Source organism: Homo sapiens, chromosome 6 (genome assembly GCF_000001405.40).
Source record: "Homo sapiens chromosome 6, GRCh38.p14 Primary Assembly".
In the NCBI taxonomy this organism is placed as follows: Eukaryota; Metazoa; Chordata; class Mammalia; order Primates; family Hominidae; genus Homo; species Homo sapiens.
In genome coordinates, this window is record NC_000006.12 from 30,250,662 (window position 1) to 30,268,200 (window position 17,539).

General features: G+C 44.0%; 1 long non-coding RNA gene and 1 pseudogene across 2 annotated transcripts in view, besides 1 other annotated feature; one reads left to right on the plus strand and one right to left on the minus strand.

Moving 5' to 3' along the window:
* Window positions 1-17,539, minus strand: part of HCG17 (HLA complex group 17) — a 92,096-nt gene that overhangs the window by 16,623 nt on the left and 57,934 nt on the right. Inside the window, 1 exon segment of the long non-coding RNA NR_052012.1 lies at window positions 3,686-3,803. This is a non-coding gene — a long non-coding RNA (HLA complex group 17).
* HLA-L (major histocompatibility complex, class I, L (pseudogene)) lies at window positions 8,901-16,290 on the plus strand (annotated as a pseudogene). Its single transcript, NR_027822.1, has 7 exons — window positions 8,901-9,036; window positions 9,266-9,423; window positions 9,736-9,946; window positions 10,543-10,818; window positions 10,926-11,042; window positions 11,634-11,681; window positions 12,615-16,290. The product of NR_027822.1 is annotated as a major histocompatibility complex, class I, L (pseudogene) (transcript).
* Window positions 15,557-15,757: a silencer, noted in NCBI's record as "peak5750 fragment used in MPRA reporter construct". NCBI's record gives its function as "represses an SCP1 promoter by STARR-seq MPRAs in K562 erythroleukemia cells {active_cell/tissue: K562}" and the evidence as "EXISTENCE:reporter gene assay evidence [ECO:0000049][PMID:32103011]".

Genomic DNA, 17,539 nt, shown 5'->3' on the forward strand with positions numbered 1-17,539 from the left:
AAGACTAAACCAGGAAGAAGTTGAATCTCTGAATAGACCAATAACAGGATCTGAAATTGTGGCAATAATCAATAGCTTACCAACCAAAAGAGTCCAGGACCAGATGGATTCACAGCCGAATTCTACCAGAGGTACAAGGAGGAACTGGTACCATTCCTTCTGAAACTATTCCAATCAATAGAAAAAGAGGGAATCCTCCCTAACTCATTTTATGAGGCCAGTATCATCCTGATACCAAAGCCTGGCAGAGACACAACAAAAAAAAGAATTTTAGACCAATATCCCTGATGAACATCGACACAAAAATCCTCAATAAAATACTGGCAAACCGAATCCAGCAGCACATCAAAAAGCTTATCCACCATGATCAGGTGGGCTTCATCCCTGGGATGCAAGGCTGGCTCAACATACGCGAATCAATAAACATAATCCAGCATATAAACAGAACCAAAGACAAAAACCACATGATTATCTCAATAGATGTAGAAAAGGCCTTTGACAAAATTCAACAGCCCTTCATGCTAAAAACTCTCAATAAATTAGGTATTGATGGGACGTATCTCAAAATAATAAGAGCTATTTATGACAAACCCGCAGCCAATATCATACTGAATGGGCAAAAACTGGAAGCATTCCCTTTGAAAACGGGCACAAGACAGGGATGCCCTCTCTCACCACTCCTATTCAACATAGTGTTGGAAGTTCTGGCCAGGGCAATCAGGCAGGAGAAGGAAATAAAGGGTATTCAATTAGGAAAAGAGGAAGTCAGATTGTCTCTGTTTGCAGATGGCATGATTGTATACCTAGAAAACCCCGTTGTCTCAGCCCAAAATCTCCTTAAGCTGCTAAGCAACTTCGGCAAAGTCTCAGGATACAAAATCAATGTGCAAAAATCACAAGCATTCTCATACACCAATAAAAGACAGAGAGCCAAATCATGAGTGAACTCATTCACAATTGTTTCAAAGAGAAAAAAACACCTAGGAATCCAACTTACAAGGGATGTGAAGGACTTCTTCAAGGAGAACTACAAACCACTGCTCAACGAAATAAAAAAGGATACAAACAAATGGAAGAACATTCCATGCTCATGGGTAGGAAGAATCAATATCGTGAAAATGGCCATACTGCCCAAGCTAATTTATAGATTCAATGCCATCCCCATCAAGCTACCAATGACTTTCTTCATAGAACTGGAAAAAACTACTTTAAAGTTCATATGGAACCAAAAAAGAGCCTGCATCGCCAAGTCAATCCTAAGCCAAAAGAACAAAGCTGGAGGCATCACGCTACCTGACTTCAAACTATGCTACAAGGCTACAGTAACCAAAACAGCATTGTACTGGTACCAAAACAGAGATATAGACCAATGGAACAGAATTGAGCCCTCAGAAATAATACCACACATCTACAACCATCTGATCTTTGACAAACCTGACAAAAACAAGAAATGAGGAAAGGATTCCCTATTTAATAAATGGTGCTGGGAAAACTGGCTAGCCATATGTAGAAAGCTGAAACTGGATCCCTTCCTTACACCTTATACAAAAATTAATTCAAGACGGATTAAAGACTTAAATGTTAGACCTGAAACCATAAAAACCCTAGAAGAAAACCTAGGCAATACCATTCAGGACATTGGCATGGGCAAGGACTTCATGACTAAAACACCAAAAGCAATGGCAACAAAAGCCAAAATTGACAAATGGGATCTAATTAAACTGAAGAGCTTCTGCACAGCAAAAGAAACTACCATCAGAGTGAACAGGCAACCTACAGAATGGGAGAAAATTTTTTCAATCTACTCATCTGACAAAGGGCTAATATCCAGAATCTACAAGGAACTCAAACAAATTTACAAGAAAAAACAAACAACCCCATCAACAAATGGGCAAAGATATCAACAGGCACTTCTCAAAAGAAGACATTTATGCAGCCAACAGACACATGAAAACATGCTCATCATCACTGGCCATCAGAGAAAAGGAAATCAAAACCACAATGAGATACCATCTCACACCAGTTAGAATCATGATCATTAAAAAGTCAGGAAACAACAGGTGCTGGAGAGGATGTGGAGAAATAGGAACACTTACACTGTTGGTGGGACTGTAAACTAGTTCAAACATTGTGGAAGACAGTGTGGCGATTCCTCAGGGATCTAGAACTAGGAATACCATATGACCCAGCCATCCCATTACTGGGTATATACCCAAAGGATTATAAGTCATGCTGCTATAAAGACACATGCACACGTATGTTTATTGTGGCGCTATTCACAATAGCAAAGACTTGGAACCGACCCAAATGTCCATCAATGATAGACTGGATCAAGAAAATGTGGCACATATACACCATGGAATACTACGCAGCCATAAAAAAGGATGAGTTCATGTCCTTTGTAGGGACACAGATGAAGCTGGAAACCATTATTCTCAGCAAACTATCCCAAGGACAAAAAACCAAACAACGCATGGTCTCACTCACAGGTGGGAATTGAACAATGAGAACACCTGGACACAGGAAGGGGAATATCACACACCGGGGCCTGTTGTGGGGTGGGGGGAGGGCGGAGGGATAGCACTAGGAGATATACCTCATGTAAATGACGAGTTAATGTTTGCAGCACACCAACATGGCACATGTATACATATGTAACAAACCTGCACATTGTGCACATGTACCCTAGAACTTAAAGTATAATAAAAATATATAGACATTAAAAAAAATAACTTAAAAAAAAGAAATCTGTAACAATAAGATGATCCTGTGGGACTGAATGCTTTTGTCATCCTTAAACTCATAATTGAAACCTAATCTCTAATGTGATGGTGTTTGGAGGTGGAGCCATTAGGAAGTGATCATGCAATGAAGGCAAAACCCTCATTAATGAAATGAATGCCCTTATAAAAGGGACCCCAGAGAGCTCCTTGCCCCTTCCACCATGTGAGGACACCAAGGAAAAGCAACATCCATGAATCAGGAAGCAGCCCTTACCATACATGGACTCTTCCCAGGCCTTGATCTTTGACTTTCCAGCCTCCAGAATTGTGAGAAATAGATTTCTGTTGTTTGCAAGCCACATAGTCTATGGTATTCTTTTATAACTGCCCAGATTGACTAAGACAGATGATGATGAAAATACTACCAAGTATTGGAAATTAACATCAAAATTCTAAATGACAATTTATTCAAAGAGGAAATCTAGAGAAATTAGAAAGTCTTCTGTATTCTGAAGGATAATGAAACATACATATCAAATGTATGGGATGCAGCTGAAGTAGTACTAGAGAAAAAACCAATACCCTTAAATGCCTATATTAAGAAAGAAGGTAGGTCTCAAATTAGTAAATTAGCTTCTGCTATAAGAAACAAAGAAAAACAAATTAAACCAAAGCATGGAGAAGGAAGAAAATAATAATTAAATGGAAAAAATGAAGCAGAAAGACAGAGAAAATTAATGAACCCAAATATTGGTTCTATGGGGAAAAATCAGTACACTTTATAAATTTCTAGCTAGACTGATCAAGACAAAAAGATGCACATTAACAATGTCAAGAAAAAACGAACATCAGTGCACACTCTCTAGATCTCAAAAAGAAATATTGATAATCTCATGTCAATAAGTTTGACAAGCAAATGAAATGAACAATTTCCTTGAGAGAGAAAACTTATGAAAACTGACCTGAGAAGAGATAGAAAATGTGGCCAGTCATATATTGATTGTAGAAATTGAATGTGTAATCAAAATCCTTCTCATATAGGAAACTCCAGGTCCAGAAGGCTTCATTGATGAAATGTATCTAACAAATAATTTGGAAATAACATCAATTTTACACATACCTTTTAGAAATTAAAGGAGGCAACAACTTTCAATTTAATCTATGCAGCCAGCTTTCACAGTCAGGCGTGAGTATCTGGCTTTTCCAGGTGCACAGTGCAAGCTGTTGGTCAATCTACCATTCTGAGATTTGGAGCACCGTGGCCCTCTTCTCACAGCTCCACTGGGCAGTGCCCTAATAGGAACTCTGTGTGGGGGCTCCAGCCCCCTATTTCCCCTCCACACTGCTCTAGCAGAGGTTCTCCGTGAGGGCCCTGCCCCTGCAGCAAACTTTTGCCTGGGCATCTTAGCATTTCCATACATCTTCTGAAATCTAGGTGGAGGTTCCCAAACCTCCATTCTTGACTTCTGTGCACCTGCAGGCTCAAAACCATGTGGAAGCTGTCAAGGCTTAAAGCTTGCACCCTCTGGAGCCATGGGCCAAGCTGTACCAAGCTTGGCCCCTTTTAGCAGCCGTGGGAGCAGTTGGGACCCAGGGCACCAAGTCCCTAAGCTGCACACAGCATGGGAACCCTGGGCCTGGACCAGGAGACCATTTTTTCCTCCTGTGCTTCTGGGTCTGTGATGGGAGGGGCTGCCATGAAGACCTATGGCATGCCCTGGAGACATTTTCCCCATTGTCTTGGGGGATCAACATTTGGCTCTTTGTTACTTACGCAAATTTCTGCAGCCAGCTTGAGTTTCTCCTCAAAAAAATTGGTTTTTCTTTCTATTGCATCGTCAGGCTGTAAATTTTCTGAACTTTTATCCTCTGTTTCCCTTTTAAAATGGAATGCTTTTAACAGCACCCAAGTCACATTTTAAATGCTTTGCTGCTTAGAAATTTTATCTGCCAGATACCCTAAATCATCTCTCTCAAGTTCAGAGTGCCACAGATCTCTAGGGCAGGGGCAAAATGCCACCAGTCTCTTTGCTAAAACGTAACAAGAGTCACCTTTGCTCCAGTTCCCAACAAGTTCCTCATCTCCATCTGAGACCACCTCAGCCTGGACCTTATTGTTCATATCACCATCAGCATTTTTGTCAAAGGCATTCAACAAGTCTTTAGGAGGTTCCAAACTTTCCCACATTTTTCTGTCTTGTTCTGAGCCCTCCAAACTGTTCCAACCTCTGCCTAATACCCAGTTCCAAAGTCAATTCCACATTTTCGGGTGTCTTTTCAGTAGCACCCACTCTACTGGTACTAATTTACTGTATTAGTGCGTTTTCATGCTGCTCATAAAGAAATACCCAAGACTGAGATGAAAAAGAGGTTTAACTGGACTTAGAATTCCACATGGTTGGGGAGGCCTCAGAATCATGGCGGGAGGTGAAAGGCACTTCTTACATGGCGGTAACAAGAGAAAATGAGGAAGATGCAAAAGCAGAAACCCCTGATAAAACCATCAGATCTCATGAGACTTATTCACTACCACGAGAACAGTATGGGGGAAACCAACCCCATGATTCAAATTATCTCCCACTGGGTCCCCTGGGTCCCTCCCACAACACATGGGAATTATGGGAGTACAATTCAAGATAATATTTGGGTGGGGACATAGAGCCAAACCATATCACCAGCATTACCCAAATAAAAATCCCAGACAAGAACATCACAAGAAAAAGAATCAAGAACAAATATTCCTCTTGAACACAGACTCACAATTCAATACAAAACGTTATCCAATTAAGATATACATAAAATGAATAATATGCCATGCCATATTGGTTTTTTTAAAGGGAAAGTAAGGTTGGTTTAACATCTGAAAATTAAACAATACAATTCACCCAATTAATAGAACAAAGAACAAATGTTGCACAATTATTATAGTCAATGCAGAAAAAGCACTTGCAAAATCAAGACCATTTCATGACAAAATAGCTCAGCAAACAAAATCGAAAGGAATATCTTCAATGTGGTTAAGGACACCCACGAAAAGTTTACAGCTACCCTCATATTCAATTATGAAAGGCCAGATGCTTACTTCCTAAGATTAGCAACAAAGCAAAGATGTGGCTCTCCTCATTTTTGTTTAAAACACCTTACGAGCATCCTAACTAGTGCAATATGGCAAGAAAATGAAATAAAAGACCAATAAAAGGGCCAAGTGTGGTGCCTCATGCCTGTAATCTCAGCACTTTGGGAGGCCAAGGTGGGAGGATCACTTTAGTTCAAGAGTTTGAGACTAGCTTGAGCAACATAGTTAGACCCCTGTCTTTACTAAATATAAATAATTTTTAAAAGAAAAAAAACAATGATAGGAAAGGAAGAAATAAAATCTTTCTTTCTCAGCTTAATTACATATGTAGAAAACAATAAGGAATTCTGAAAAAGTCTCTGGAAGTAATAATTAAATTTGCAAAATTGTTCACAAAAGATATGTAATAAGTCTCTTAGACAAACATGACAAGATAGCAACAATACTAGTCATCAAAGAAGTGCAAGTTAAAACCACAATGAGAAACCATCACACATCACCTAGAATAAGTAAAGTTCAAAAGACATATGATAATTCTAAATACTGGTATGAATATGGAAAAAATAAAAATCTCTTATATTGTTGGTAGGAACGCAAAAAAAAGTTGCAGTCAGTTTGTAAAATAATATGGCAATTTCTTAAACAGCTACCCATCCATTTACCATATCACCCAACAATTCCACAAATATTTATTTATCCAAAGGAAATGAAAATTTAAGGCCATGCAAAGACTTGTAGTCAGTTATTTATAGTGGTTTCATTAATTACAGACCCTAACCGGAAATAACCCACGTTTATCAGCTGGAGAATAGAGAAACCAACGAATAAACTGGAATTCCAACAATACTCAGCAGCTACTCAGTGACAAAAATGAATGAAATATTATTACTCTTAACTACATGGAAAAATCTCAAATATTGTTATGACAAGTGAGAGACCAAAGGACTACATAACATATGATTGCATGTCCATGAAATTCTAGAAATTTCATTATTACAGTAACAGAAAGCACAGCAGTGGTTGAGTGAAGAGAAGGGGGTGAGGGTGGGAGGCAAGGATTAAATAGAAAAGGGGCATAAGGAAAGTTTTTAGGGAAAAGAAACTGTCCTCTATCTGGGCAATGTGGTAGTTACATGACTATAAATAATTACCAATATTCATAAAACATTGTAGCTAAAACTGGTGAGTTTTATTATACACAAACGCCCCAATTAGGAAAAAAAAAGGTGGGGGAAGAAGGCAAAAATGAAGACACTTTTACATAATCCAAATCAGAAAATTCATTTCCTAGGGATCTTGTACTACGTATAATTTTGAAGGAAGTTCTTCAGGCTGAAGGGAAATGATACTAGATGGTGACCTAGATATATAGAAAGGGATAATTAACAACAGAAATTATGCACATACACAGATCACATACACACTCATTTTCTTAATGACAATATGAATGCTTAAAACAAAAAGTATTACTGTATTATTGAGTTTATAAAGTATATTGATGTAATATATACAACAAGAATAGCACAATGGTAGGTTACATGAAACTACACTCTTACAAGTGTCCTTTATTTTGCTGGATGCAGCTTAATATTACCTGAACTTCACCATGAAAAGTCAAGGAATCGGGTTTCAATTCTTACAACAATAAAAAATTAGTGTAAAGAAATATACCTAAAAGCCACTAGAATTAAAACCATAAACTAAAAAATGTTTACTTAACACATAAGAAAGTAGGAAAGGAGGAATAGAAACAAAAAGATACGAGACAAATTGAAAACATACAGCAAAATGGTAGACCAAAACCCAACCATTGTAAGTGAAGAAATGACACGACCTGAGTCACATTAGCAGAACTGCTGAGCACTGTGGGGAGAACAGACATGGGCAGGAAGTGAGGGACAGTGTTAGTGCCACAATTCAGGGGTGAGAGGGTGGCAGGGACTAAGGGGAGGGGAGGGTGTGAGGGATGAGAGGGGCAGAGAGAAGGGCTGGAGAGACAGGAAGTGAGGAAAAGGAGCAAGGGAAAGGACTCTAAAGCAGTGGAGGAGCCTAGCAGGGGGTTCTTGACATGCATTCGGTATTTAATACATTTTGTGGGACTGCCAAAAACTAATGGCCTCCTCATGATTAAAAACATAAGAGTAAAAAAATACCAAGTATGCAAATAAAATGTGCACACTGCTTAGATGTGCATAATTCATAAAAACAAGCAGTGCTTAAGCATTGATGATAGGCATTTTGACTTCAGTGCAATTTTGAGGCTCCTTGTTACAATATACAGTAACAAATCCTGCTTCTTTGTATTGAGATGTCCTGGACTCACACAGGGAAACTCGGGCTATGGAATGAAGATAATTTTAAATGCAACAACCCAGAGTCATGGATCCACAGTCTGGGAAAGTAAACTTAGAAGCTTTGTGACTCGAATTGCAATGCTGTTTGGATACACTTATATATGAAGCAGGCAAAATCAGGTCTTTTACAGATTAGAATCCTGATCATTCAGGGGTTAGATTGTGCTAACCACTGTATTAATAAACAAACAAACAAAAAAACCTGGTCACTATGAGAATCTCTATCTTGTGCCTTCAGCCACAACTTCACCAGGTTTAAAGAGAAAACCCCTTTCTCTACACCGCCATTCCCAAGGCGAGCTCACTCTCTGGCATCAAAGTTCCCTGGGGTGAGTTTTCTTCTAGGATAGTCCAAGGGGAGAGGTAAGGAGTCGGAAGTCCAGTTCAGGGACGAGGATTCCAGGATGAGCGTGAATGGGAAGGGGCTGGGCCCAGCCTGGGGGTTCTCTCCCTAGTTTCCACAGACAGATCCTTGACCAGGACTCAGGCAGTCAGTGTGACAAAGAGGCTGGCGTAGGAAAAGAGAGGTCAGGACAAAGTCCCAGGCCCCAGGCGTGGCTCTCTGGGTCTCAGGCCCCAAGAGCGATGACTGCACTGGGGAGTCACAGGGTTGGGGATTGCCCACTCCCCTGAGTTTTGGTTCTCCCAACCTTCTTCCTGGATACTTGTGACATAATCCCACTTCTCACTCCCATTGGGTGCCGGGTTTTTAGAGAAGCCAATCAGCTTCGCCGCGATCCCGGCACTACGATCCCGGCACTACAGTCCCGGCGCAACCACCCGCACTCAGATTCTCCCCAAACGCCAAGGATGGGGGTCATGGCTCCCCGAACCCTCCTCCTGCTGCTCTTGGGGGCCCTGGCCCTGACCGAGACCTGGGCCGGTGAGTGCGGGGTCGGGAGGGAAAGGGCCTCTGCGGGGAGAAGCGAGTGGCCCGCCCGGCCCGGGGAGCCGCGCCGGGAGGAGGGTCGGGCGGGTCTCAGCCTCTCCTCGCCTCCAGGCTCCCACTCCTTGAGGTATTTCAGCACCGCAGTGTCCCAGCCCGGCCGCGGGGAGCCCCGGTTCATCGCCGTGGGCTACGTGGACGACACAGAGTTCGTGCGGTTCGACAGCGACTCCGTGAGTCCGAGGATGGAGCGGCGGGCGCCGTGGGTGGAGCAGGAGGGGCTGGAGTATTGGGACCAGGAGACACGGAACGCCAAGGGCCACGCGCAGATTTACCGAGTGAACCTGCGGACCCTGCTCCGCTATTACAACCAGAGCGAGGCCGGTGAGTGACCCTGGCCCGGGGCGCAGGTCACGATCCCTCCCCATCCCCCACGGACAGCCCAGGTCCCGGGTCTGAGTCTCCGGTCTGAGATCCACCCCGAGGCTGCGGGACCTGCCCAGACCCTCGACCAGGGAAGAAACTCGGGCGCCTTTACCCGGTTTAATTTCAGTTTAGGCCAAAATCCCCGCGGGTTGGTCGGGGCGGGAGCGGGGCTCGGTGTTCGGGGCTGACGGCGGGGGCGAGGCCATGGTTCTCACACCATCCAGAGGAAGCATGGCTGCGACGTGGGCCCGACAGGCGCCTCCTCCGCAGGTATGAACAGTTCGCCTACGATGGCAAGGATTACATCGCCCTGAACGAGGACCTGCACTCCTGGACCGCCGCGAACACAGCGGCTCAGATCTCCCAGCACAAGTGGGAAGCGGACAAATACTCAGAGCAGGTCAGGGCCTACCTGAGGGCAAGTGCATGGAGTGGCTCCGCAGACACCTGGAGAACGGGAAGGAGACGCTGCAGCACGCGGGTACCAGGGGCCACGGGGGCGCCTCCCTCATTTCCTGTAGATTTCCCGGGCTGGCCTCCCACCAGGAGAGTAGGAAAATGGGACCAATGCTAGAATATCGCCCTCCCACTGGTCCTGAATGGGAAGAATCCTGGGTTTCCAGATCCTGTACCAGAGAGTAACTCTGAGAGCCCACCCTGCTCTCTGGGACAATTAAGGGATGAAGTCCCTGAGGAAATGGAGGAGAAGACAGTCCCTGGAATACTGATCCGTGGTCCCCTTTGACCCCTGCAGCAGCCTGGGGCACCAGGAATTTTCCTCTCAGGCCTTGTTCTCTCCCTCACACTCAGTGTGTCCGTGGCTCCGATTCCAGCTCTTCTGAGTGCCTTGGCCTCCACTCAGGTCAGGACCAGAAGTCCCTGCTCCCCCATCAGAGACTCGAACTTTCCAAGGAATAGGAGATTATCCCAGATTCCTGTGTCCAGGCTGGTGTCTGGGTTCTGTGCTCCCTTCCCCATCCCAGGTGTCCTGTCCATTCTCAGGATGGTCACATGTATGCTGCTGGAGTGTCCTATGAGGAATGCAAAGTGCCTGAATTTTCTGACTCTTCCCCTCAGATCCCCCAAAGGCACATGTGACCCAGCACCCCATCTCTGACCATGAGGCCACCCTGAGGTGCTGGGCCCTGGGCCTCTACCCTGCGGAGATCACACTGACCTGGCAGCAGGATGGGGAGGACCAGACCCAGGACACGGAGCTTGTGGAGACCAGGCCTGCAGGGGACGGAACCTTCCAGAAGTGGGTGGCTGTAGTGGTGCCTTCCGGAGAGGAGCAGAGATACATGTGCCATGTGCAGCATGAGGGGCTGCCAGAGCCCCTCACCCTGAGATGGGGTAAGGAGGGGTGTAAGTTGTCTCCTCTCAGGGAAAGCAGGAGACCTTCAGCAGGGCAGGGCTGAGGCCTGGGGGTCAGAACCCCTCACCTCCCTCTCCTTTCCCAGAGCCGTCTTCTCAGCCCACCATCCCCATCGTGGGCATCGTTGCTGGCCTGTTTCTCCTTGGAGCTGTGGTCACTGGAGCTGTGGTTGCTGCTGCGATGTGGAGGAAGAAAAGCTCAGGTAGGGAAGGGGTGAGAGGTGGGGTCTGGGTTTTCTTGTTCCACTGTGGGTTTCAAGCCACAGGTAGAATTGTGACTTGCTTCATCACTGGGAAGCACCGTCGACACACAGGCCGACCTAGCCTGGGGCCCTGTGTGCCAACACTTGCTCTTTTGTGAAGCACATGTGAAAACGAAGGACAAATTTATCACCTTGATGATTGTGGTGATGGGGACCTCCCAGCAGTCACAGGTCACAAGGGAAGATCCCTACTGAGGACAGACCTCAGGAGGGCAGTTGGTCCAGTCACCACACCTGCTTTCCTCATGTTTCCTGATCCTGCCCTGGGTCTGCAGTCACAGTTCTGGAAATTTTCCTGGGGTCCAGGATTTGCTGTTTCCTTAAGGACTTCATGCCCCATGTCCTCCCTGACCTCTCACAGGTTGTTTTTTTCTCACAGATAGAACAAGGAGGAGCTATGCTCGGGCTGCCTGTTAGTATGGGGGATTAGAGGGCTGCTCCCTGAGATCGTTGGGACAGTGTAGACAAGATTCCTCCTTTAGCCACATCTCCTGTGGGCTCTGACCAGTTCCTATTTTTGTTCTACCCCAGGCAGCAATTGTGCTCAGTACTCTGATGCATCTCATGATACTTGTAAAGGTGAGACATGGGGGGGCCTGAAGTGGGTGGGGGTGAGGCAGAGGGGACATGATTCTGTTGAGGGGTTCTCTGGATTTAGACATCTTGACCATGTGGTAGGCTGTTCAGAGTGTCACCAGGTACAGTGACTGCCCTGGATTTGTTTATGATTATTTTCTCCTGTAGCTTGAGACAACTGCCTTGAGTGGGACTGAGAGATACAAAATTTCTTCAGGTCCTTCCTCTGACACACACCATTGTAATTTCAAGAGCTCCTGACTTCTATATCTGCACTTGACACGTGAATATATCTATGTGTCTGTGTTCCAGTTAGCATAATGTGAGGAAATGGGCTACTGGTCCACCACTGCCACCAGGACCACCACCCCACACTAACCTGTCCTCTCTTCCCCGGTCAAGTTTTTTTTCAACAGAGGTGAGGCTGGGACATTTCTATTCATGTCTTAACTTTTAAGTTTCACTGAGCTGCCACTTACTCCACTATTCAAAATAAGAACCTGGATATGAATTTTTCAAATTCTTGCCATGAGGTTGGGTTGATTGTTCAATGAAAGGAGAGCAAGACTCTTAAAACTTGAGAGAGGAAGTAAAACCTGAGAGCCTTCCAGAATCCATTTTTGCTGTGCTGGGCCTGTTGTAGGTGGAGACAGGAGAGAGAGGGCTGTGAGGAGCTGAGTGTGGACAGCCTATGCTCAGTTCATCATGGAATTTGACGTGGTCATTCATTGGGTTGGTCATCTTCACTGCTCCATTGTTTGTGTCCCTTCAGTAGAACCTTGTTTCACCAGGACCTGTGATCACAGGCACACAAACATTGCCTGGGCCTTGTCCTGTCTCTAGGACCGTGGACAGCAAGGGCTTCATGGGCTGGGTCAGTCTATGGTCTGGCCCTAATATTTTGTATCATTATTTTTGGTTTCTTTGTTTCTGTAGAGGACTATGCCTGTTCCTGTTCTGGTGTCTGCGTTCTGATCTCTTTCTCCCCTGGGTGTCCCTCATCTCTGACAGCAGCAGGAGTCATTTTTCCTGTCATTAACCCCACAAGGTGGAAGGCAGCCCCTGCACACAGAAGTCTGTGGTATTAAGAGATGAATTTTCAAGCCCGTGCAGCTTTTACCCTATTTCCAGGGCTCTTTCTTGGATTGTATTTTCTATCTTTTCCCCAACCTTTTTAAAGGAACTAGATTCTGAAATTAGCAGAGAAGAGGGATGCCACAAGTTCTCATCTTAGGTAACTTTCTAGTGGAACTCCTCTTCTGCTCAGCTCTCCTACCCACTCTCCCTTCCCTGAGTTGTAGTAATCCTAGCACTGGCTCTAATGCAAACTCATGGATCTATAAAGCAAAGTCTAACTTAGATTTATATTTGTTTGGAAATTGGGATTCATAGTCAAAGATTGTTCTTTCCTAAGAGGGAAATATAATTGCATGCTGCAGTGTGCAGAGGGTTGGTGTGAAGGAGGGATGCAGGGAGGAAGGGAGGGAGGACACACAAGCAGCACTGCTGGGAAAAGCACAGGCGGCCTGGATGTCAGTGTGAGGGGACCTTGTGCTGTCGTTGCTGCAAAACCGCATTTGGCCTGAGGCTATGTTAATAAAGATACTGCCTTTAGAATAGGAGGTGCTCTACAGTGATGATTCATTCAGCCGACATTTGCTGTCTGCCAGACATATGACAGAATGTTTTTGCATCTGGGGAAAGTCATTGAAGTAAAATCAGAAAAATCTCTAGCCTTGTGGAGCATGTGTTCCAGTGGGAAGAGGCAGACGGTACATACACTCTAATATATGCAGAGTAAATGAGGAAAGTGTTAGAAGGTGATAAGTGCTGTGGAACAGGTGATCAGAGTATGGGTTGTGGGACAGAGAAGGTAGCTATTGTGCCGGGGTTGTCAGCGTGGGCCTTGTTGGGAAGGTGACCTTTGATGAAATATTTGAAGGACATAAAGGAATTTGTCATGAGGGTATCTGGAAGAAGTTTTTTCTAGGGAGTAGGAACCTTCAGTGTCAGTGTACCAGGGCAGGATCATGTCTGTGTGTTCTGGGAAGAACACGGGATCGGGTATGGCTAGAGCAGAGAGTCACTGAGATAAGGTCAGGGGTTTGGTCAGATCATGTGGGCATAGGGCTCAAGTATGTGGGAAGGATTTTGATTTTGAATGAGATAGTTTTAAGCAGAATAAAGACATGCCACAACTTCTCTTTTAAAAGGATCACTGTAGCTGCTCTGCTGAGAACAGAATCCAAAGGCCGGCGATGAGCAAGGCAGGTGGGAAAACTGTAGGAAATGAGTGCAGTATTTCAGGCTGGAGATGTCGGTTACTTCAACTGGGGTGTGAGCAGTGGAAATAGTGGGACGTGATTGGATTCCTACTATTTCCAATCACTTTATACCGCATTTTCTAATGGACTAAATCTGGGGTATGAGAAAGAAGAGTAAAGGATACCAAAAATGTCAGACTGTGACTAAAAAGAGTTGCCATCAGCTGAGAATGAGAAGACTAGCAGGAGCATATGAGAGGAGGGGACGTCGCAGGCAGTCACTATGGGAGACGTGGGATCTGAGATGCCGCTGAGAAATACCAGTGAGGTAGTCGGGTTGGCAGTTGGACAGATGAATCTGGAGACATTTAGGAGAAATAGACTTGGGAGGTGATGTCATATAACAGTTATTTAAAGCCTTGAGTCTGAATGACGTCTCCAAGGGAGTGATTGGCTGTAGAAGAGAACAGGAACAAGGACTGAACACTAGGCCTCTGTTGCTAAAGGATCTGATCAGACAACACACCTAGATCAGACTGCACAGTCCTGACCCCACATCTAGAAGGTACATAGACCAGGGAGTTCTAGACTTTCCTGTGGACAGGAATCACCTGGACATCACCTTAAGTCTAAGCTGATCTGGAATCGAGAATGAGATTTCCTACTTATATAATGTTGCTGTTGGCGCTGATGCTGCTGGTCTTCAGATCCCACTTTTGGTAGCAAGAACACAGACCAGGATTCCTAGGCTATGCATCAGCCTCGCCTGTGAGGCTTGTTAATAAGCAATTCCTGCACTCCATGCGCAACATTCTGACACAGGGGCATCTGTGGAGAGGCCTGAGTATTCTACAACAAGCCCACAGCAAACCTGGTGCTCAGCCAGATTTGATATCACTGAGATCAGTAGTTGGAGAATGCCCAGGATGGGGAGGGGTCTCAGACCCACATTTAAGTGTTGCTTTATTCTGGGTTTTTTATTTATTTATTTATTTATTTTTAAGGAGGATGTGTTTCTTTAATTATAAGACAGGATGCTGAGAGATAAATGTCATTTTCTCTATCATGGGGTATAGCCAGATGGAAGATTGAGAAGTGGCTCACAGCTCAGCAGAATGAAAAAATATCTGAATGCTGCTTTCTGAAACTACTCTCCAGAATGATTTCACACTCACTCCTTGGAGCAAACAATGACTTGCAAATTTTTCTAATTTAAACATAAAGGAGTGTACATATTGGTATTAGTATTCATTTTATTTTGGGGAAGGGCACTGTATTAGTCCATAGTCCGTTTTCACACTGCCGATAAAGACATACCCAACATTGGGAAGAAAAAGAGGTTTAATTGGACTTACAGTTCCATTTGGCTGGGGAGGCCTCAGAATCATGGTGGGAGGCGAAAGGCACTTCTTACATGGTGGTGGCAAGAGAAAATGAGGAAGAAGCAAATGCCAAAACCCCTGATAAACACATTGGATCTCAGGAGACTTATTCATTATCATGAGAATAGCATGGGAAAGACTGGCCCCCATGATTCAATTACCTCCCCCTGGGTCCCTCCCACAACATGTGGGAATTCTGGGAGATACAATTCAAGTTGAGATTTGGGTGGGGACACAGCCAAACCACATTGGACACAGAACCAGGTTTGAAGCTACACAGCCAGGAACATAATCCACAGCCACCCTAATTCAGATCTCTCATAGGAACCACTGTCCCTGCTCCTGAGCACAGATGCTACTGCATATACCTCTGATACCCTGATGGCCGACACTGGGCCCTGTGGCAAAGACTGCTATCACTGCTGCTCCTGAGAACTGCTCCACTACTGCTCCTCAGCCATCTTTACCAAAATGCAGTATTTACTGTCCCAGCCTCTCTGTGTCATCTCATCCTGATTAGAAGCCCACATGTGGTTATCTAAATTGTGCAGCCAAAGCCTCTTGCAGTGTTTAACTGCAATAATGTTGGGGAAAGTGAATTTTTCTCCTTTGTAGAAGGAGGTAGTCCCTGCCTTCTAATAAGACTCTTCAACATAGGAAGAGAATTCAGTTGCTGGAGGTAGAGGGGTGAGGGATGGAAAAAGAATGACAAATTTCAATTCCTAGAATCATGTTCTGAGACTAGAACTTTATCTAGTACATTGCAGGCACCTGGGTTTGGTTGAGTGTATAATAAATGACATAGTTCAACTTATTCCCTTGACAGTTTGTTTTGGGGTCCAGCTTTTGTCTACCCCAGTTTTCACACACAGATACGTGGAGAAGCATTGTGTGATGGTAAAATGTTTACTTGAAAGCCTTTTTCCCTATCTTTGTCTCTTGCTAGGATTAAAAACCCGTATCTGTAAGACATCAGAGGATCCATGTATACACTGACATTTTATATAAATTTTTAATATTTTGTTCTATCTGCACATGCTCCTAGGGAGAGTTATCTATACATTCACCAGTTTTAATGTGACTGCTCACAGAAGCCTAAAAAACCATCCTAATTTAGATGCCATTTTACTCAAACTATTGTATGAACAGCTGATAACCATACTGTTTTTAGAAGACCCAGTGACATGGTATAAATGCTCATCTTTTGCTTGACTGTTACTAGTCTGGGATGAGATAAAGTAGAGGTTTACTTGCATAGTTCACTCACAATTTCTATATGTATAGTATTGTGGGCTGCTAACAAACAGTCCACAGACCAGTGCTAGCCCACAGACTGCACTTTGAGAGTAGCATTGGTCTAGATGTACTTGTATTCCAGCATCTACCTCGGTGTCAGATTAATGGCAGGAATTAATCAGTAGCGAATGGGGATTCCATTTCCGGTAATAGGGTGAACTAGGTTTTAAAGCTGCCTCTTCTACCAAAAACAACTAAAAAAGAGATGAAATGTGAAAATCACCCAAAAGTATAGAAATATAAAAAAGGGAATAATCTTTTTGGTCAAAATATAAATGTGGGCAGGATTTAGAAAAAGGGAAGTTGCTTTTATCTTGAGGGCGTTTGCCAAATCTGGAAAAATCTTAGCTTTGGTTTTCTCAGCTTCATATGGTATAGTGCAAAGGAGGTAATTCTCAGAACTTGTTTGTATAGGGAGTATAAGAGGAGACACTTTTGTGTACCCCATGAAATATGGGAAACAAAAGATGTGTTTCCTCAGAGTAAGAAAAGAAAATCTGTTTCATCCCCCAGCACAAGAGTATTCTAAAGAAATTTGCCTTTGAGTCAGCAAAACCTGTTTTTGAGAATTTACAACCACCAGCCAGCACTCCTGCAGATTTGTTGCCCAAACTAGCTTTACCGTTTTGGGCCAAAATAACCTCAAAGCATGATTTTGATTAATAATTGTCCTGGATTAGCGATGATCCAAAAATTGGAAGAAGGAAACAAAAATCTTTATAGGAATGCATATTTAACCCATATGTCAAAGAATTTGCCCAAATAATTCTACAAGGAAAAAGCTGCTCAGAGCATGAACTGTATAAAGTACAAGTGGAGAAAAGTCAGTCTGATTGAGAACCAGTGGAAACAATAGATAAGAGGCTCATAAAGCTTCAATATTTGAATTATGAAACAAAATAACGTAACTAGTATTACA